General features: G+C 38.8%; 1 long non-coding RNA gene across 1 annotated transcript in view; it reads right to left on the bottom strand.

Moving 5' to 3' along the window:
* The window catches only part of BALR6 (B-cell acute lymphoblastic leukemia associated long RNA 6), a 306,371-nt gene extending 284,446 nt beyond the window's left edge, over positions 1-21,925 (bottom strand). The window contains exon 1 of the long non-coding RNA NR_161333.1: positions 21,783-21,925. This is a non-coding gene — a long non-coding RNA (B-cell acute lymphoblastic leukemia associated long RNA 6). The remainder of the gene's footprint in view (positions 1-21,782) is intronic.
* Positions 21,926-22,467: the final 542 nt, after the last annotated feature.

Below are 22,467 nucleotides of genomic sequence, written 5' to 3'. Positions count from 1 at the left end.
AGCCTGAACAAAGTCTGCTGATATGCTAGTTTATTAATTTCAAGTATATATGATGCTGGCATTGTTAGAATTGTCAAGTGTGAAACCCTTAAATTCTGCTTTTGATAAAATTTATTTGTAATTAACAGCATTCCTCACACAATTCATCAACCTACAGAGTTTTGTGCAATAGGTAAAACATCTTCTCCCTCTAGGAGTTTATAGTCTAAACTGAGGAAACAGAACCTAGACACATCAAAAGCTGACAAACAATACAGACAAGGTTAAGATTTGGTGATGAAGAGTCCAAGGAGATGCTGGAAGAGTTTGGGAGGAGAGACATCCTGGAGGCTGGAGGAAGCAGGGTTTAAGCTGGGCTTGAAGAACTAGTGAATTCAGAGAGGAACAATGAGACTGCATGGCCAGCATAAGGAACTATATGGGTAAAGACCTGGAGATAGGAATCATGGGCTATAGGGACAGTGACTTCACCAATCTGGCTAGATTACAGATGGTACAAAATCAGGATGCAAGGATGGAAAGAGTTTGTGGCCAGAATGGGGAAGGCAAAGTTAAATTTGAGCAAAACGAGAAGAGATTTATCCTAAAGGCTAAAGCAGTCATTGAGATTCTGGTAATGGCATGATGAAAATGTCAGAATTAATCTGGCTGTGGTGAGCAAAAACGATTCTAGTCTAAAAGATTTGAGGGAGGGAGATTAGTTAGAAAACTTTTCAGGTGCGAGTGGATCTGAAATAGGTTAAACATGTCCCCCTAACTCTTGTTTGTATCATCACTTTAAGCCGAACTCTTCTTGATAGATATGGGGAAAGGAAACTTCAACCACATCCCAAAGACCAAAATAGAGGCATCCTCATCTATCAGGAGTCACAGTCATTAAAAAGTTAGGTAATGTCCAGTTTGGAAGGGATATCTTCTCCAAAATTCCCTTGAGCAGTATTTGTGTTTAAGAAAGAAGCTAAAATTGTCACAACAGTAATGAAAAATGGGGGTTGTGGGGGTGACTGGAGTCAGAATTAGCACCATTTGCAGTCTGACCCCAGCCTCCAGCCCCTAAACTCCCTCAATACTAACTGCTGCCTCCAGGCAGAGCCAAGAGGAAATCCACAGCCACAAGTGGCTGTTTGTTTGAGCCTGGTTGGCGGTTCACCGGGACCAGCCGTAGTCCTTGCACAACCACAACTGTCAGTTGAAAAGAGGAGGAAGGACATCTGGGGGGCTTCAACCTTAAAATAAGATCTGTGAACCCTTGCAAAAAACCACCTCCTGTGCAAGCTGCCTCTTAATACATTTTTATTACTCTTGGCTTTGGACTTCTGCACCTCTGCAGCTAGTGAAGCAAATACATGAGTGGAATATGTTGAAATGGAATGTTTTATCTCTACTATATTTTGTGTTTGTGCGTGTGTGAATACACACAAGAGTAGGGTGACTAATTCACAGGAAGCCTTAAAGAAAATGCCAATTGGTACTTGCAATGGGGAAAAATATTGCTGAAATTTAGTTTACTCTTTGAAAAAGCCAACACATTGTTTGTTTCCCTAAAATGTCGGTCTTTTCACCCACCAAACTTTTGCTTATGTGTCTGTCTCTGTGAACATTCTCCTTCTCTCCACTTATTGAAAGCCTCATCTTTAAAATTCCTTCTCTCTGTCAGCTTCCTCCTCCCAACCTTCCTTGGACCATGGGAGCCCACATGGCAAACTTCTATAATATTGCTAAATAAACCTCCATAGTAAGTTCCTATTGTATGCCCAACACTTTGCCAGGCATCAGGAAAAACAGGTTTCTGCCCTGAAGGAGTTCATAACCCATTACAAGAAATAAATCCACAAACAGCTAGCTAGCCCTAGTCAAATGGGCCCCGTGATCTAATGGGTCACACATATTAAACATTAGCCTCAGTGCGTGGCTACAGCCTTCACTAAGGGGGCAGTTTTAAGCAGCTCTGTTCACACCATATGACCCTGTAGTCCTCCAGTTGTAGCTGTTTGACCAGTGAAGGGCAACAAAGCCAAGGATAGCCAATTGGTAGGCTGGTCAGCAGCCTATGAAGTGCCTGGGCCTAAAGCAGTCTCCCCACATGGGGTTGAGCCAATCAGACACCTGTTCTTAGGAACATGGCAGCAAGAGTAAAAGATGAAAGGTCATGAGGTAGAAGGAGGCAGGACAATCATGATGGGTCGGGAAGAGCCAGCAAGAACCTCTATAATAGTAAATATTTGTTGAGTGCCTACAATGTGCCAGACTTGTTATAATTATTCCCATTTTATAATAGAAGAAAATAAGACAGATGAAGCAATTTCACATTTTGGGGGTCTCAATTCAAACATCCCCCCCTCACACAGACCACTCTATCTAAACCAGCTTTCCTCTCCCTCTACCAGACCCTCCTAATTCACTGTATTTAGAACCTCACTACTCAAAGTGTGGTCCTAGACCAGCAGCATCAGCATCAACTGGGAACTTATTAGAAATGTAGAATCTCAGTCTCCACCCTGGACCAACAGACTCATCCATAATCTGCATCCCAGATGATTTGTTTCTACATTAAAGTTAGAGAAGCACTTTTTTAAAGTAATTTTGTATTACTTACATTACTTTATATTGCTTATGACAGTTCTCTTCCTCAATAAGACTGTGGGTTCCATAGGGGCAGGGTTTTTTCAAAACTTGACCATATCACCTCTGTATTCCCATGTGCTAGACATTTCAAAACTACTAGCTTAATGAATAAATGATTTTGCCCAAATTCTCATTGCTAATAAGTAGCTAATAAATAGTGGAGTCAAAATCACTACCCAGGACTCCGAAATCTAATTAGGTGGCTTCCTGTTTGAAGTACTCATTCCCCCAGCTCTGGGAGTGCAGGAGACTGACAGTCTCAATTAAGCCCCTCCCTGGGGTGCCCTCAGCACCCCACCCATGGTTACAACCCCTTCTCAGGGGCAGCCTGCCTCCAAGGACTGGTGGATGGGGAACATACAAAGACTCGGCCCCTCTTCCCTCAATTTAAGACAACTTCAAAGAACCATCACAGCTCCAGAGCTCCCCATGGGATCAGCTAAGGGCTTTGTGCTACTGCATTGCAGGCCAACTTCTCCTTCCGTGCAATCCTGTTTCCTTCACTTCCCCACAGGAATCAGTCCCAAGAGCACCACCCTTAAAATTTTCTGTACCCCCATTTACATCTCAGAGTATGTTTTCAGGAAACCCAACCTGAGATCAACTGACATACACAAAGAGGTGGAGTCACATTGATGGTGGGCTCCTCAGGACAGATGCAGGAGCTCCTGCCAAAAAGCTGCCTGGAATCATTTCCAGATTGCATGAGGGCCAGTTCGTCCTCCTCTGGAACTCCATGACACCCATCACCATGTAAGTGAGCTTCTATTCCTACAATAAAAGTGACTAAGCGAGAGAGGTATGAGGAGGAGACTGTGAAAGTGCAGAGGAATTGCAACTGATTTTAATGCAAGGGATAAGAGAGACTTCTAATTGTGTAAGTATTGTCTCAAAAACAAGATTTTAAAGTCAGGCTGCAGTGTAACTTAAAAAACACTAGGCAAGTAGTATACATGTGACAAATACTTAACAGACCATAAGGCACCAAAAACAAAAGCCTAAATATCAAAAGTAAAGTATAAATAAAGGAAAATGAATGTTTTTCTCCCACTGAAGGCATGAATTAGCATTTGCATTTAGCCATAAAGTATACAACACACTTTACGTAATCTGATGTGGTAATCTTAGCATTGGAAAGTGGGCGAATTGGCCTCAAATAGTATCCAAGAGGGTTTTTGGTGACTGAAATATTTAAAGCACCTACAAATTGGTCCCATTCAATAGTCCTGAAGGCAGGGTTCCAGAGAGAAGGAAAACAGTTGAGAACAAGACTGATCTCTAAATAGTGGTCCAATTTCAACCATCTGTCAATGGTTGTGTTTTCTTCTGAGTCTTTGAGACACACAGGACTTCCAGTTACTCTCCTACCTAAAACAACTAAAACATGGAAAAAATACATGAAACAATAAGGATTCAGACATTGAACATCAGGCAACAAAGAGCAATGACTCCTGAAAGACAGAAAACAAGTGAAGTGCCCCCTACAATTGTCCCAGTTTACTGCCTAAAGAAAGATTCTGGGCCATGGTACAGGGAGGGGAAATCCAGGCAGGGTCCAGTGGTCTCCCTGAGTTCAGGAGACAGAACTGGGAGTCTACAGAAGCCAGGGAAGCTAGAATTCATAGGGCAGACTGCCCGAGAGGAGAGTTCTGTATAGACAGAGGACTCTGAAGATCTGCAGAGGGTCCCCTGGAGTGTTCATTTGAGACTAACCAGTGCATGTGTGTCCAGAGATTAGAGGAACTAGTGCCCAGAGCTTCAGTAACAGGGAAGAATTAACCCTACTTGAAGTGCAGCTCTCGTTCACCTAAAAAAGCTTAAAAGCCAGATTTGGAAAGATAAAACTAGCTCTGAGTAATTCAACCACATCTCAGAACAACGCTCAAAAATGTAGAAATATTCACAAGGTAATATTCACAATAATAGGCATCAAATTAAAAATTACCAGGCACACAAAGTAGCAAGAAAAGGCAACCCATCTGGGCCAATTGAAACTGACCCACAAATGACACAGATGATAGAATTAGTAGACAGAAACATGAAAACAGATAGTATAACTGCATTTCATATGTTCAAGAAGCTAGAGAAAAGATTGAATATGTTAAGCAGAGACATAGAAGATAACTTTCAATAATCAAACTTCTAAAAATGATGCACAATGGATGAAGGCATGAGGTCTGCACTAAGAATCCTCAGAAGTCCTTGTGCTTTTCCCAGAATAATGAAAGCTCAGCTGGTATCCCTCTCTTCCACCCCTCCATCCCTGAGTGGAAACTTACAGAGCTGCTATTTTGGCACTGTTCAACAAAGGAGACGCTTCTGGCTTCCTACAAAGTTTGGAGCTCTGGATAGTATGAAGAAAGATCAGCTGCCACAAAGGGGCAGCAGTTCTCTTCTTGTAAGGCAACTGGTGCCAGGCACAGCAAGGGATGGGAGGCCAGGGGACATGAGTTCTGGTCCCCTCAGCCTCCCTACCCCAGCAGCTGTGTGACTTTGGGCAATATATTAACCTCTCTGAACCCCAGTTTCTTAATCTGTAAAATAAGGATGATAATGATGATCATACTCATTTTGTAAGATTTTCGTGACAATTCTATTGCATCAAACAAGGAGATGCATTTGAAAGTTCTCTGTCAAGTCCAAATATTGGTACTTATTTTTGCATACCACAAAAGCCAGGAGATATGTACCAGCATTTGTGGGCATGTTACATGTTCTTCTTTCTCAATCCCCAGCCCCACCCCCCAAAATCTCTTAATCATGTTTATCTTTTTATCAACATGCTTCTGACATTCTTTGGGGCTTCTCAGTTAATAGCAAATAAAGTAAGAGCAAGTAAGGCATTATTTGAAAAACTAAGAATGGGAGAGAAAATTTAAAAGCTAACTATTCTGGTTCTCTATTTTGTGTAACAACCACTCATAACTGAATAGTGTGAAACAGCCACCGTTCCATGATGCTCACTGACTCAGTGTGTTGGCTTTGGGACTGCAGTGGGAATGGCTTGTTGCTGCTCCATTGTGTCTGGAGCTGCACCTGGGAAGAATTGAACTGCTATGGGTTGCAATCATCTAAAGGCTTTTTCTCTCACATATCTGCACCTGAACTAGGATGACTTGAAAGCTGGACTTCGCTAGGACTATCATCCGGAGCACTTACACGAGGGCTTTTTGTGGACTGGGTCTTTTCACAGCATGACAACTGGATTCCAAGAAGGATGATTCAGAAAGTACAACAAGAGGGAGAATTGTAAGAGAAACAGGTGGAAGGTATTGCTTTGATTTTCTGCCCTTGACAGTTCATCATTAGTTGAAGCAGTTACAAGCCCACCCAGATTCAAGGGGAAGGGACAAGGCTTCCCTTTCCAGCGGGAGAAGGAGCAGAGTACTTGGGGCCATGTTTTAAATGTGCCGCACTTGCTATCTAAATTCTGCACAGCAAAAGTAATATTAACGCTTATTCAAGTTTTCAGAATAAATGATTGTCAACGATGCTATCTTTCCCTAAATTAGTCTAGTCCAAGAAAACCTCACCTTCAGTAGTCCAGTCCTCTGGTTTATCTGGGCCATCATTTACATTCATCATTTTGTATCATCACTGAGGACTACAAATAGCATTTTATTGGCAACCATGAAAATTAGGCCTGGCTTGTCAGAGCATAACATTCAAACGCTCCCTCAAAATTATTAATAGGATGGAATCAATTACAGAGTTGCCCTCTGACCTTAATTCAGATGATCCTAGGACACCACCAAAGAGAATTTTTTTTCCTGAAGCAAAATGAAAATCTCAGAAAATTTTAACTGATAATGTGTTTGTATTAGAATTCCTAGTCTGAAAGAGGTTGCTCCAAAGAAAGTTGAGATTAATAAAAGTATGCATAGAATAAGAGACATAAGTAAAAACAGGCCTCTTTCTGAAGGGATTAGGTTTGATGCTTTTCAAGTTTTACAGCAAGAATGACAAGCCTGGTATGAATTAGAAGGACTCAGGCTTAATATTTACTGTGGGATAACGGGAGTGGTGTTAGGATGTAAACATGTCCGAAAAGTTAGCACAAGAGCTTGGGGAAAACTCTGCCTTCAAAAACATGCCAAAGTTGCTTCTAAAAGTTAAGCTCAAGTCAATGGCTGGAGCTGTTACAACCTGGAAGGACAGTGTTGAGAAGCCCTGCTCATTTGGTTTGGTTTGAACAAAAATTGAGCCTTTCATTTAGAAAGAAAAAGAGAATCACCAAAAGTGACAGTCCTTGTGAAAGGAAAAGAGTAGATTCCAGGCTCCTGAATGATGTGAGAAGTAGCCACACAGCTGCCTCTTTTAGCAAAGAATTCATGACACCTTCCAATGGTTTATTTATACATAAAGTGTGCGTGAAGAACAGAAAGGTAGCTCCATGCAGTGGTTGGAAATGAGGCCCTGGAACAAATCCTGGATTTGAATTCTAACTGCTGTTTACTAACTGTATGACCTTGGGTAAAATTATTTTGTCATGTCTCCTCTAAGATTTAGTATCCTCATCTGTAAACGTATATAAAAACTTAACATAGTGTATAATTCATTAAAAATAGACTCTAAATTCTCATTTTTATCATTATGTTTATTTTCTTACAGTTTCTATTAGTTTCATTTCATAATCCATGCATAAGATATAAAATAACAAAAATCACCCATAATCCTGCCATCTAGAAAACCATTTTTGTTGATATTTTAGTATATTTCATTTAGTCTTTCTACAATGCATTTTCTCTATCTGAGATCTCACGAAGGATATACCTTTGCATGCTATATATTTCCCTTCTGATCATAGGATCAGTATTTTCCATGTAACTAAAAATCCTTGATGAGTATTCCTTTGGATGGTTGCATAGCCTCCCACTGTACACTTATGTAACTCTCTTAACTATAACACAAAAATCTCTCTGGGGAAAAAAGTAAGTTTGTGTTCTTTTCTTTGGGAGAGAAGAAGCTAGGAGGCACCTGCATTGCAGGGGTTGTTTGTGCTGTCTACATACTTAAGAAGTGATAGGAGTAAGGGATTTGAGGCATAAGGGCATTAAAATATAGCCCTAGATCTGTCCACACAAGGAACATGGTCTTAGCTACTAGTCCAGTTTTCCAGATTTCCAAGCATGAATTTCTACATAATTTCCTCAAGAAATCACAAACCTCTGACTTTCACAAGGAAATGATTTCAATTTTCTGATTTCCACTTAAGTATCTCCTGTTACTTCTTACTTCTGAAAAGGCTTTTTTAAGAAAATATAAGAAAGCACGGTTGTTGTGGTTAAAAATCGCCTTCCTGCCCGTCACAAATAAAGCTATTTTCTTCTCTTTCTTAAGTGTTCCGAGAAATCAGCAGGTAAATAGGGAAGATATTTATTAATAAATATATGGATGTTCTGCAATTGCCAGACATACATGAACGAAGCTGGGAGTTAACATATATCTATTTCTGCTCACACAATGCAATCATTAGTTGGGCTGGCTTTTGTTGAACAATTTTAAAGCCTTGATTTGTCCATGTTTGTTTTAGACATCCTTGCCTAAACATCTAATGCTCCGTAGAAGTGCTTCCTACGTTTGTTATTAAAGCTTCTTACACTCTGGTTTGGGGTATGTCTCCTTCCACAGGCCACCAAGACCAAACAGAAAATGCCTTGAAATGCAAACAGTCCCTGAATTATTATACCTATTACTTTTTATTAGTAGTAAAAACAAAAAAGAAGCAAGAAACAGTTCTATTTATGCAGAGCAGTTAGAACATAAATAATAATAAAATGCTAAAACTATAAAACTACTTACATGATATTAATTTAATTCTTATAAAAAGTAGGTTTAGGTATTGCCTCCATGTTAGCAAATGTGGTACATTTTGCTTTCATCCAATATTTATAACCAAAAACATTTTGGTTTAGGAAATAAAGTAGAGATAAAAAATTAGTCTTTGAATATTGGGCTTTGACTAGTCCCCTGCTGCCCTTTATTGTATGTTTCAGTAAAATACAGTACATCTTGCTGTTTTATTTCATTGTTTGTGGCCCATGCAAAATCCTATTGTCCAGCTGCCCAGCATAAATGAACAACAAATCAGAAGAACCAGAGAGACACTTTAACTGATTAAACTGGGTCTGGAATTTTCCTTTTACTGCTAAATTATCATCTTATTGCAATTATTTTTACACATTTTGATTATTTTTACATATTGTGATTATTTCTGCAAAATTCTAGGGGAGATGCTAGTCAGAGGGCCAAGGCTATAGTACTCCATCTTAAAATCCTAAGCCCAATAAAGAGTCCAGCTTTCATATTCTAAAGTTGTGTTTTTCTCTCTCTAAAATTATTTAAATCAGCTGATTAATGGAGCTTGAGTAACTAGGCCTTTTAAAAAAAATTTTACTCAGGGCTCATCACTTTACTTTTTTCGTAAAAGTTCTTTGAGCTGAGGAATTCTGTCATAAGTAAAGTAACATTTCATTTTGTCACAAAACAAAATAGAATAATGACATAATTCAGCCAGGCGCTGTGGCTCACGCCTGTAATCCCAGCACTTTGGGTAAGTGGATCACCTGAGGTCAGGAATTCAAAACCAGCCTGGCCAACATGGTGAAACCCTATCTCTACTGAAAATACAAAAATTAGCCAGGTGTGGTGGCACACACCTGTATTCTCAGCTACTTGGGAGGCTGAGGCAGAAGAGTCACTTGAACCTGGGAGGCAGAGGTTGCAGTTAACCAAGATCACACCATTGCACTCCAGCCTGGGTGACAGAGAGAGACTCTGTCTCAGAAAAAAAAAAAAAGAAAAAAGAAAAGAAAGAAAAAAAAAGAAAAGAAAAAAGAAGAAGAGAAAATACCCTTGCTACAATTAAGAATCTCCTTCAGAGGTACCTGATAAAGCAGACTATATGACTTTTGAAAATTAAGAAAATATAATGTTTCAATGAAAATCATAGATATTTCTTTATCTTTATCATAGATATTCTTTATCAAGGCCAGGTGTATACAGACAAAACAGAAAACCAGAGCCACCATGTATGGATGCACAAGTTGTACACTGCACAACTCCAGGGGAAGCCATTTATGGAGATAACCCTGTGAATGCTGCCTTGGTTAAATCTAATTTTGCGCCTTCTATTCAGGAATGGGTCTCCAAGTAACTTAAAACAAAATTTAGGACCAAATATTTTTACAAATGTTGCTGAGTCAACATAAATCAACAGATATGTATTAAGTCCACTGTGATGAATTTTACTGGCTACACATAAAAAAAAATAAAAATTTTGCATTAGTGGGATTGCAAAGAAAAACAGTTAAATTGCATGTAGAATTTTTAAACTATATAAGGGAACAATTTTCAAGCACTTCAGGAACATTCACTACCAACAGACAATTATTGTCCTGTCACATATGGTCATTTTCCAGATGTAATAGTGAATCTGGCCAGAGCTCCCTCTGCCTGGTTACAGTGGAGTAGCTGTTCTTTGTACTTGAAAGTAATAAAGTGACATTTCTTTTCAAATATTGTACTACTCACCTCTGTCACCAATTTAGACTCACCTTTTTTTTTTTTACCTCACATCAGAATTAATAAGGTTTAAGTGCATCTGGAGGAGGGACCCACATATTTACAGCTTCATTTCAATGTATAATAGAAGAAGATAAATTCAGACAGCAAACCAATTCCAATGGCAAGTTTTTACTTACAAGTGCCATCTCTACTGAGTTTATCAGAGTCTCTTCTTATTTAAAAAAAAAAATTGTCACCTGCTAGATTTAGGCATATATTAAAGACATCTAAATGATTAAACTGCAAGTGATCTACATATGTTAGTATATGGTGGAGAAGGACTTCTGATTCTACTCTTTAGCTACTTTTGTTTCCTTGGACCTAATAACCTTGCCTTGACTATGCCTGATGACAACTGCTCAATCATATATTAGGATCAACTTAAGATGTATTTTGTAAGGGCAAAGCAACTCTGTTTACCGTGATCGCGCAGGTCAAAATCTTTCTTTATATATCCTTACCAGTGAGCACACACTTGCACAGAAAAAGCCAGGAAAATTCAATCCCCAACTTGTGTACACACAAACAGGCATTCAGATATTTGATCTGAGCTTGTGTTGAAAGTAAGAATTCCTCTGCAGAAAAAGCACCCCCACCCCCACCATTGGCATATTTGTGACATGGGAAATTGCTGGAATTCTCAGATTGCTAAGGTGCAGGCAAATGATTAACACGTCTCCATAAATCACTGCAGATTTAGGATTTAAATACATACGAAAATGGCAGGGACTCTTGGGTCTTCTATTTATAAATGCAGTCATTCTTTTCTTTCCTTCTTTTGCTTCTTCCCAAACCCCTCCCCTTTGGATCAAAGAGAGAATTCCAAGCAGACTGAAAAACAATGGTAAATGTTTGCATTGCTGAAATTCACGCTGGTGCCATAAGTGGATTTAAGGCGGACTGGGCTCTATAAACAAAATAAAAAGATGGCATCCAAATGAAAACATGTAAAAAGGATACTGGGAGAAAAATGCTTCAGAGAAGCAGTCTGGTTAGTTGTAAAATGACTTTAAATTAGGCTTTAAAAAGGATTGCTAAATCTTGACACATATATGAGCAGCTTATTATCATGCAATTGTGCAGTAGTTGCTTGATCTTGTTACTGATTCGTCACATATGAATAAATGATTAATTACCAGAAAGGCTAAAACAGAGTAGAGTGAGAGTACTGAAGCTCACCCTGAAAGAGGGGCTTAAACACGTTTATTGCCCTTTAAGTGCATTTCATTAAGGCCAATTAAGGACTTTCATGTCTTATTAGAAAAATGAAGTAGATTTATGAGGTTTTCGTAGGTTGTAAATGCTGGGGCTAGCAGATACAAAACTGAGTAGAAATGTGGTAGTTAAGAGCTAAGAAAATATATACAAATGCTCCCAGAAAGCAAATATTTAATGGCAGTAAAAAGCTGGTTCAACATGAAGGTGATCTTTAAATAAAAGAAAGGGCATAATTTTTATTTCCTCTCGTCTACTCACTATAAACTTAGGGATTTGTGCATGGGAAAGGTTTCTCTCTGCAGTTCAGAAACCTACTTCAGGGTGGGAAAAAAAAAAGCTAACCCTAAAATGACCTGACAGCCACAGAGTCTTTTGTCAAAACCAAAGTATACACCAGTAAAAATGCTCTTTCAATTCTAGAGTGAGAAACACATTTTTGAAAGAGAGAAAGCTTGAAAGTAAATCCAGCACTGACATGGTTGTTAATAAACAAACAGTAAGCAAAATTCACTGGCAAGGGCCTAACTTCCCACTTTTCTGGTCCTGTCAGATGGTGTCAGAACCTTAGCCCAGCCAAATGGTTACTATACACCCTGGATTTCCTTGATTCGTTTTCAAGGAAAATTACCATGACAGGTTAGCAAGCATGTTCTGTTGCCCTTTGGGAAGGATTATCACCCCAACACCATTCTAGCCATGGGGTTTATCTATTTACTCAACATTCAGATGGCTCCTTTACTCTTTCTGTCTCACACACACACACACACACAAATACACACACTATACACCACACACACACACCATACCCACACACTACACACATACATATCATACACACATACATACACACACACCCATAAACACACACATACACACTATACACACACCACACACACACACACACACACACACACACACAAAGACTTAGATAATATTTCCTCAGGGGACTCGTGCAACTTTTTCAAATGCAGGAAAATGCATTTATGAATGCTTGGTAAAATGCACATTTTTACCTTGCACACCATTATGGAAAGCCTCAACTGTTTATCACATACCCTCTTGGATAAATAATTTAAAACCACATGAAACTTCTTCAAGAAAATAATCAGCTAAAGATGTACAGCCACAACTTTTTAAGCTCAAATCTCTCCTCCTTTAAAAAATGAATATTGGCAACTCAGTAGATTATGTCTTCTTGATTTTTAAAAAAAATACAAGAGAAGTGCTATACAGCACATGAAAGATGTCCAAAACTCACCAACAGTTTTTCAAGACACACATATTACTTTAAAATGGATGCCTTGGTTTTGCTTGTTTAAAACCTATTTACTGCCACAGAAAAGACTGAACATGGAACTTTAGCACTTCTTCAAGAGCACTGACAAATTTTTCTGCTGAGAACCTTTAAAATGGTATTACTAGAAGATCTAACAGCAGGAAATCAGATTAACTGTGCTGTTTCTGAAGAAAAGATGAAGAGGTGGTGGATGATATTTATAAAGGTGGAAGTTGTGAAACTGAAGGTAAAGTCCTACAGGCACATCTCTGTCAAAAATAACAACAAACACACAAAACAGCAAACAAAATATTAATTTCAATGTCTTTAGTGTAACACTATTTTGTTCTGTGAATTAGATTTTCCAAACAAATGATGGCCTGGACAAAGACCTAAAGCAACTAGCCATGTATCTGTTCAGACTCTGCAAAGAATTTTATTGAACTGAAATGTGATGAGCATCTGTCCTTGGTGATTTATTCCAAACAGCGGAGATGTTATAAAATGAACACATTACAACTCCTGCTATAAAAGAGAAACAAAATGATCTTTTAGTTAATATCCAATCAAACTTCAAGACACCTTATGGAGCACAAGGATTTCATGGGATCATTTTATTCCATTGCACCTTTCTCCGGAACGCTAAAATGGGATTAACTTAAGAATTTCTAAAATGCAGAGCTAAATGTGTGTATCCAGTTTTGGGTTTTTCCAGATCAACAGATGTCACTTTATTTTTATTTTTATTTTTATTTTGACAACCCAAAATGTAAGCCCGGGCTAGGGTGCTAATTACCAATAAGTTCTTATTAAAGAACCAAGAGTGCTTTTTCTGAAAGTTCAATACCAATTTGGGCCTCAGGGTCACTGAGTTACAAATAGGAGTGGAACCTTTTCAAGTTCAGGATTGGATACATTTTGTCAGGCAAAATAGACTATTTCTGGGAGAATTGCTGCCTAAAAAGAAAAAGAAAAGAAGTTGGGTTTAAAAGCCTCCCAAAACTTCTAGTATGAGAGTTTTATTCCATAAAAGAATTTTCAGATGGCTTCTGTACAGATGAATCCCAAATAGATTAATACCCATGAGATAAGCATAGGGACATTAAAATTATAAATCACACCCCAATATTTCCATAATAGCACAGTTTGAAATTGTCAGATAAATAAGACAAGTTTTATCTAATGTAGCCAATTTATTTTTAAGGAGTTCATTAAAACTAGGGAATTAAACTTTCAAGTGGTGAAAAGGTAATTTCTGTTTATACCCAACACAGAAAAAAGTCTCAAATTATTAGAGTTTAGAATAAAATGAAGTTTTCATATTAGGAAAAGAGAATAGTTTCTATTGAATCATAGAGCTAAATCTGCCAAACACAAAGAGCAGGAATGAGATAAAGAAGGATTTAGCACATTCAAGCAGAGCTGGACAATTTCAGATTCGACATGGACTCATTTCTCTCTGAATTTTCTGAGTTGGTCGTCCATAAATCTTTATTGTAATGAACAGGCTGCCAAGTCTTGCCCTTTCCTTCAGGCAGTTCAAATTCTAATGAAATCCTATCTATCTATAGATATTATTGGGCATGCTTGGCATACCTTGAACATACTGTCAGGCAGAGCTTTGTGGTGCCACTGTGGGGTAGACAGTTTTGAAATAGAGGGGTGACTTTAAGGAAGCAGGCATAAGTCTGATCAGTCCTTGTAGATCTCAGACTATGCTTGGAAAAACCTACAGCTCCGTTTCAAGGCAACTAGCAGTTTTCAGAGGTGGAAAGCTCTGGGCTGAAAGCAAAGGTCACAAACTACCAGCCTGAAAGCCGGATTTCAATCACATATATGTTTTGGTAGGGTTGCACAGTGCTTTTAAAACTGGTAAGCCATTATTAAAAAATCAGGAGGTTGTTTGTTTGTTTGTTTCTGGCTTCTTTTGAAAAATTGGAAAATCTGAAACAGTGGTCCAAGCTCCCTATGGCAATGGCCAGCTCTTTCTCTAGCATCCGACCCATGCTTCCAGTCTCTATCATCTTATTAGGGCCTGCTTCTCACGTGTCTGACCCTTAAGTTTGGACCCCAGGCTTACAGTCTCTGAGCCCTTTCCTCAAATCCCTTAAAATCCTCATGCGTCTTAGTTCAATGAACTGCTAACCAGAAATAAATAAGAAATGAGAGGTGCCTTGTTTAGGAACTATGTGAGCTACCTAAAAGTTTATTACAAAATAAAATTCTGAAGATTGACTTAGCAGATTTTTAACCCCTTATGCTAGAGATCAGAGAACTATGACCCATGGATATGCCAAATCCTGCTGCTGTCCAGTTTTATAAATAAAGTTTTATTGGAACACAAGCATGTTTAACTGTTTGCATATTGTCTGTGGGTGCTTTACATTACACTCCTTAGAGACCATATGACCTGCAAAGTCTAAATATTTACTATCTGTCCTTTTACAGAAAAAAAAAAGTACCAGCCCTCGCTTTATACTCTAGACTTAAAGATGGGATCGCATTTCTAGAGCCAATGAATGACGCTGAAGCTCTGCTTAATGACTACTGCCCCTTCCCAGGGTGCTTTGCATCTGCTAACGCCATCTGCATGGATCAACTGTTTATTTTCTGTGTGGGCATGGCCACATTTTCAAATCCAGAGAGTATCCATTTAATGGATCTATTTCCCCAGTACCTATATATCGTAGGTTTTTAAATTCCCTTTGGTGGCCACCTCAGGAGATGCCTATTTTGTTGGTAATTTACGAACTGGCTATATCTCAGCTTAATTTTCTAAAATAATACATTCAGGGGGATAAACCTGAAGTCTATCCTGCCCACGGTTTCACTGAGCAATTTTAATCATTGTGTGCCCTGTCTGGCACCATGTTATTTGTAGTCCAAAGTGTCTCCATAACACAGTTTTTTCTGCCTCATTAGAAGCAATATAGTCAATAAATCTGATGGTCACCCAACGAGATAAAAATGATGCAGCTCTAAAGATTGATGAGTGGTATTCTTCCCACCCTAGCCTATGGAAAATCTTAACACTAGCCAACATCTATTTAGGTCTGATTCTGTGCCATACTTTGTGCCATGAATTTGTCATGTAACACTGCCAGTAGCTCCATGAGATAGGTACTGTTATTTCTCCCATTTTATAGAGGAACAAACTGAGAGTTTACTGAAGGTCAGGAATTTAACAAAGAGCAGAACTGAGACTAGAATTCAGATCTATCTGACTTGACTTTCACTGAGATTTCATGAAGCTGGAGAGACTGCCATTGGGAGCCATTGGGACAAAATCCTTTTCCAGCTGCAGAAATTGAGCAATAAATAAGCATTCATCTAGACAGGATGACAGATTTGTGATTTCAGTCTGAAATTGCTCAAATTCCTGATAGGTCATTTAAGACATTATGCTTCGTAAAGCAAAGCACCTTCTATTTTGCTGTAATTCATCTTTCTCTTTGAACTGTGTCTATAATTCTGATGCAAAAGATTCTAGAGTGTAAACAAATGTCAGAAGGCTCTCAGATGTAAAGATATTCCAGAGGTATTTCTGAATTGCCTTCATTTATACTTAGCTTACCTTCTAGTTGGTGAAGTTCTCAAGTTGATTTTCACTTCCTAGGCAAGCACGAGGCTTCCTATTACCAGCAGAACTATCCCTGCACCCCATCAGGGGGCAATCAGGCTTATTGGCTTCCTCCTCCTACCCTCTCCACCTCTACTAGCAGAACATGGTCCAGTATTCCTCCCCCACTGAGGGAAGTTTGGACCCTAGACTTACAGTCTCTGAGCTTATTTGTTGACAAATACTATAACTATGTTTATCTGTCTATTTGTTGACAAATACTATAAATGTTACTACCTCTTGTGACCTGGAGAACCCAGCCCCCGCCCTCCCGGCCTGGCCCCGCTACCTTTTGTAAGTCAAAAGTCTCTGGATAAGGATGTGGGGCAGAAATTTAGATGAATTAAAACAGAAAGAAGAATCTTCTGGAAATTCTCATGTTGCTGGGGTTATTTGATTTTTTGTTTGTTTGACTTAATTCAGAAGCTTTCCTCTCAATAAGAAAAACAGTAAAAATTTGTGTTTGAGATACAAGATTTTGTATTTCACTTCACATCTTCCTACCTGTAAAAAAATGTTCCCATTGCACAAGCTTTCTTACTAACAATTACTGGTAATTTGAGAGAAACCCCCTTTTTAGCGAGGAGCAGGCACATCGTCTGAGCAGTCACCCGGGGAGGAATGTGTCATAAAGGCACATTCCTCATAATCAAGGATAATTCAAAAGGGAAACAGTGATCGAACATCTATGAGAGCCAACAGAAGCCTAATCCTGAGCCCAGCTCTGCAGACGGGGACACAGGCTGCTGCAAAGCCAGGGCAGATGCCAGGGAAGGGACCAGCCACAAACAGAACAGAAGTCCAGTCCAGAGCTTGGCATCTGGGTTCTTCAGCTGCCAGCCTTGCCTCGCGAGTAGCCACAATGTTTGGCTCCTGTGCAGAAAACAACAGAGGATGAGGCTAAAGAGGTCCATGCTCTGTCCTGCCAGCAACAGGATGAGGCAGTGCCAAGAGAAGACTGCAGTGCCACATGGGTGCCAATGTGCCTTGGAACGGCTTTTATATTTTCTAAAGGGACAACAGAATTCCTGCAAAAAGAAAAAGCTGGATCCAACCCTCAGAACTATTTTTCCCATTTTCCTCTCAAAAAAAAAAAAGAAAAGAAAAGAAAAGAAAAACCCTGCTATTCCTGTCCGCAGTCCATTTTTTCACAAGGTTAACATGGCCAGGTCTCCTTCTGCTTCTCTTCTATGTCCCATATCCTCACATTAAAACCAAGCTGGCAATTTGTTTAATACTCATTACTAACCTTCTGATTATAACTTCCCTATTATTATTTGCTTTTATTTAGTTTCTAGAAAAAAATCATCAATAGAATGTGTGGAATGGGGTGGGGGATGCAGAAGGTAATGGAATAGCCTGAGATATCATATGGGTTATGAGTTGAGTAAGCCCTTTCAACCCTGGGGATTTGTAGTAGGCTTTAAAAGACCTAGTCTTCTATTTATAAGGCAGTATTGTTGTGGTTGTTCAACTGGGAAAACTGTGACAAAACCAAAGAGGTAAGATGCCAGCATTAGTAAAATCCACTACCTAGATATTATAATTTCTTGAAACGTCAGAGATTAGAAATAAAAGAGTAGAATCCTTTTGTCCATTCACATGAGGTGAATGAAGAGGCAGGAAGAAGAAAATAAAGAAGCCATGGAGGACACAGAGACCCTTCACTGTGGTGGGGCTCCTCTTGCCTTACTCAAATTAATGCGCAGACCTGTCAACCAGAAAAACTCAAGCACAGTTTATTTTTGGTAAGAAAATACAAAACCTCTTGTCCTCATGGAGATCTTGATTTTGTCACTTCATGTCTTGTAGAAGATGGGTAAACTTGAGGATGTTATATGTAAGGCTTTCAAGATAAAAAGGAAGGACATTTTATTTACTAATATTACTAGGCTTTCATTTTCCCATTAAAAATGCAAATTAGGCTCAGCACGGTGGCTCACGCCTGTAATCCTAGCACTTTAGGAGGCCAAGGTGGGCAGATCACGAGGTCAGGTGTTCAAGATCAGCCTGACCAACATGGTGAAACCCCGTCTCTACTAAAACCACAAAAATCAGCCAGGTGTGGTGGCAGGCACCTGTAATCCCAGCTACTCAGGAGGCTGAGGCAGGAGAATCGATTGAACCTGGGAGGCAGAGGTTGCAGTGAGCCAAGATGCCACCATTGCACTATAGCCTGGGTGATAGAGTGAGACTCTGTCTCAAAAAAAAAAAAAAAAAAAAAAGAAAAACCCAAATTAGTAAATACTAAGGTCAAACATTAACATCTTCTTAATTATTCTCACATGACCTCTTATGTTCTAAAGTTTGTTCAGCAGAATACCTGAATGATTGATAAATAAAACAGGCACAGGCCTTCAGCATTCTAAGTGCAATTCTTACATAATCTGGGGGGGGAAAAAAGGCTTCTCAAGGTAATTGTAACTATCTCACTATTCCCTAGCATGAAGCAAATACCACACTCCACTCATGACTCTAATTTTACTATTTTTCTTCTAATCACAATGCTTTTGCTTGAATTATTCCCTTTTATCAGGCTAACTTTCTTCACCAACATTCTTTTCAAGGCTTAGCTTCAGTTATGAAACTTTACAAGGACCTTTCTTTTTCTCCAGTTCATTCATCATTCATGGTTTCTACCACAGTTCTCCGCATTGATTATACTGCCTTGCAATTTAGTAGTTGCCATGTAAGTATTATTTAAATGATGGTGGTCACCTTGAAGGAAGGAAGGGGTCATGACTTCTAGTTTTCTTTATCATGGGCTGGACCCATGATAATAGTGTGTCATTTTAGAAAAAATAACTTGCTTTTCAAATTAAAATTTATCTCCATACAGATTTTAATCTCTATATGGATGATTAAAAAAATAAAGTTTTGACAAGACAAGCTTTACATCTCTGTCAAAAATTAATATTTTTATGGTGAGTTAATATCATTTATGGGGCACCAACTATTAATACAAAAGGCTAGGGTTCAAAGAAGAGGGACCCTATGTTCAAAGGAGCTAAGTCTAGAGCAAGGAGCACAATAACAAACACTTGTGACTTGGTCCCACATGTTTACTATGAAGAAAGGACACAGGGTTGGGTGCCTCACTGGGTTAGGTGCCATCACAGTTTCTGGAATCTCTCCCAAATATTATTTCATAGTTTACTAGTAGGATTTTTAATCTTTAATGGCATACTAAATTCTTTTAAGCAACATATTTGAGGAAAAAACGCTTCGAAATGTTTTTCTGGGGAGTTCCCAGAGCCATTGTTCACCTGAAAGTATTGCTTTACTATCAGAGAAAGAAAAAAAAAGAACTCAAGAAAATCAACATCAAATGCTAATTTAATGCCTGTCTTGTCTGGGGACTATGACTCTTAAATGTTTAAGGAGTTTTTATTTATTTTATTTTATTTTAATAAGAACATTATTTTAAAAATCAACCCCAGTCTGCAAACTTAAAGGCTACCACGTAGAACAAAGAGAATAAAAGAGAAACAGAAATTGGCTTAAGGACTTTCAGCAAAACCAACAGAAAGATTTATTCAGAGATGATATAGCAATGACATTTTATGTCAGATGTCAACATGTCAAAAATAATTGTGTTTTGTTGCAATAATGAAATAAAATCCCTTCTTTACTTTTGTTTCTTCATAAATGCATATACCACATAAAGCAAGCACTTCCAAAATGTGCCATTCTGCTTACAAACAATATTTACTCTTCTGATGTAGTTTGGATACCTGGTGTTAGAAAAGAGTTAAAGGCCAGACAGTCTTTAACTGCCAATGGAAAAGCATAGCCAGTTGCTAGGTGGAAAGAGACCTTTAGCTGAGTATTGCTCACTCTTCTTTTCTTACCTCAACTGTCTCCTAACACCAGTCCTAACCACAACCCTAACCCACCACTTAGTGGTAGAGACATCTGTTTCACAACAGTTGAAGAGAAGATGGCTCTTTTTAAAATGTACAGTCTACTAACATACTAAGGCATTGCCACTCATAATTCATATGCGTCCTTTTGTTCTTTTACAAGACATTTGTTAGAGGTTGAGTAGGCACAGCCAAAATGGCAACTGAAAGGACCAGTGTGGGGAAACCCATTAAATGTAGCCAAAACAGGATGGCTATTTCAATCCATAAGATCCCTCTTTTCCTAACTGATTATTTCAGTCTTTTGCACAGGCCTTTTTCGTGAGTGAAAATGAAATTCATATACGTACTTTCACCAAGAAACAAAATGGGGCTTTAATGAAGAAAAAGTTTTCTTGCTTTTCAAATTGGCCCGCTGTGGATTTTAGCTCTCTGTGTATCACAGGAAATAAAGCTGTAGGCAAGACAAAGATGTTCACACCTCTGCCAAAAATTAATATATTTTTAAATGGTAAATTATCATCAAAAGTTTTATACATATTAGTGATGGTCTGACCTCCAACTGTTCACAGCCATGTCCAATCCACACACACAGAAGGAGAAAATCTGTCTACTATGAATGTTCAATTTGTTCAATTCCCTGTCATGTCTTTTCAGCTGCTAATGCTGCTCTGTGAACAGATAATGACTTTAATGGGAAAGGAAAACCAACAGGGATAAACTACTTTAATTTTTGGAGGTGATAATGTGTAACTTAGATATGCTTTACCATCACGTTTACCAGAGTATATATACGTGTATACAGTGTTAAAGCAACAACCCACTTCCGGAAGTTGATAGCATTTCAAAATAAAGTCTTCTGTTATTTTGAAAGTAGCATCTGCCATATTAGAAAGGGAACCTCTTCCAACTCAACTGAACAAACATTTACTGAATACCTACTATGTGCTAGGTTTGCATGTGTTGAGGGTTTTTGTGTGTGTGTTTGTGTGTGTGTTGAGGGTTTGTGTGTGTCGAGTGATGGCAGGAACTTGCAAAACCAACATAGTGAGTTTGATGAAATTCAATTGAGAACCTAAAAAAGTGCCTTCCAATCCAGTTTCATATTCAAAATACAGGACAATTAGAAACCATCCTGAAATCTATCAAAGTGCAAGCCAAGGCTAAGTTACCAATGAGAAGCTGGCCATTCCATCACATTTCTATATGTTCTTTCTCTAGAATCCTTTTTATTGCAACAGAAACAGCAAAAAGACCTCAGACAGGAAAAATGGAGGTCTTAAGTCACATTCAGTCCCATGATAATTATAACCCCAGCAAAGACAAAAAGGGACAATTGACCAAGGGACCATCCCTACCCACAAGGAGAGTCAAAACAACAGAGGTAAGACCTTTACAGAAACCAGGTTAAAATATGCACATTTACGTCCTACAAAATCTTAACTTACACATCACTTGGTCTTGGAAATTGTGAAGGGTTTCTCCTCTGAACAGAATTTTTGTTATTACAAAATGTATACATTAGAAAACTAATTCAATAGCCCTCATTTTAGGCTTACATTTATAGAAATTTCAAAAATTATACATTTACAGGAGTGTATGAAAGATCACTCACCATGTGCATGTGGCTGCAGGATGCCAGCCCCCTGGTTCTCCTAGGTCACTGGTGGTAGCTTTTTCTCCATCTTTTTGCTTGTTCCTCCCCTTCTCCCCATTGGAGTCTCCCAGTGCTCAGTCCTTGGTCTTCTTCTCTTCTCTACACACATTCACTCCCTGAATTTTAAATACCGCCTCTATGCTAACTACTCCCAAATTTGTACCTCCTCCCCAGAGCCCTGTTCTGAACTCCAACTGCCTACTCAATATTATCACTTGTGTGTTTAAATTCGACAGGTCCAAAACTCTTGATCTTTTACCCCAAACCTATCTCACCCATGGTCTTTCTATCAACTGGTAACAACTCCATTCCTCTAGTTGTTAGTAACATAACTGATGCCTCTCTTTCTTTCAGAAGCCATGTCTGTACTGTTAGCAAATCCTGTTGGCTCAATCTTCAAAATCTTTCTGGAATCCAGTCACTTCTCACCACCTCTACTGCTACTAGACTTAATCAAAACAATCAATAACCTGGGTTATTGTAACTGCCTCTTCATAGGTCTCTCTACTTCTATCCTTGCCCCATGCCTGTTCTCAACACAGCAGCCAGAGACATCCTTTTAGAATGTAAGTCAGATTGTGTCGTTCTTCAGCTCAAAATTCTCCAGTGGCTCCCACTTCACTCAGAGGAAAAACCAAAATCC

This window comes from Homo sapiens, chromosome 3 (genome assembly GCF_000001405.40).
Source record: "Homo sapiens chromosome 3, GRCh38.p14 Primary Assembly".
In the NCBI taxonomy this organism is placed as follows: domain Eukaryota; kingdom Metazoa; phylum Chordata; class Mammalia; order Primates; family Hominidae; genus Homo; species Homo sapiens.
The sequence above is the reverse complement of the archived record's forward strand: the minus strand, read 5'-3'. Positions and strand labels throughout refer to the sequence as shown.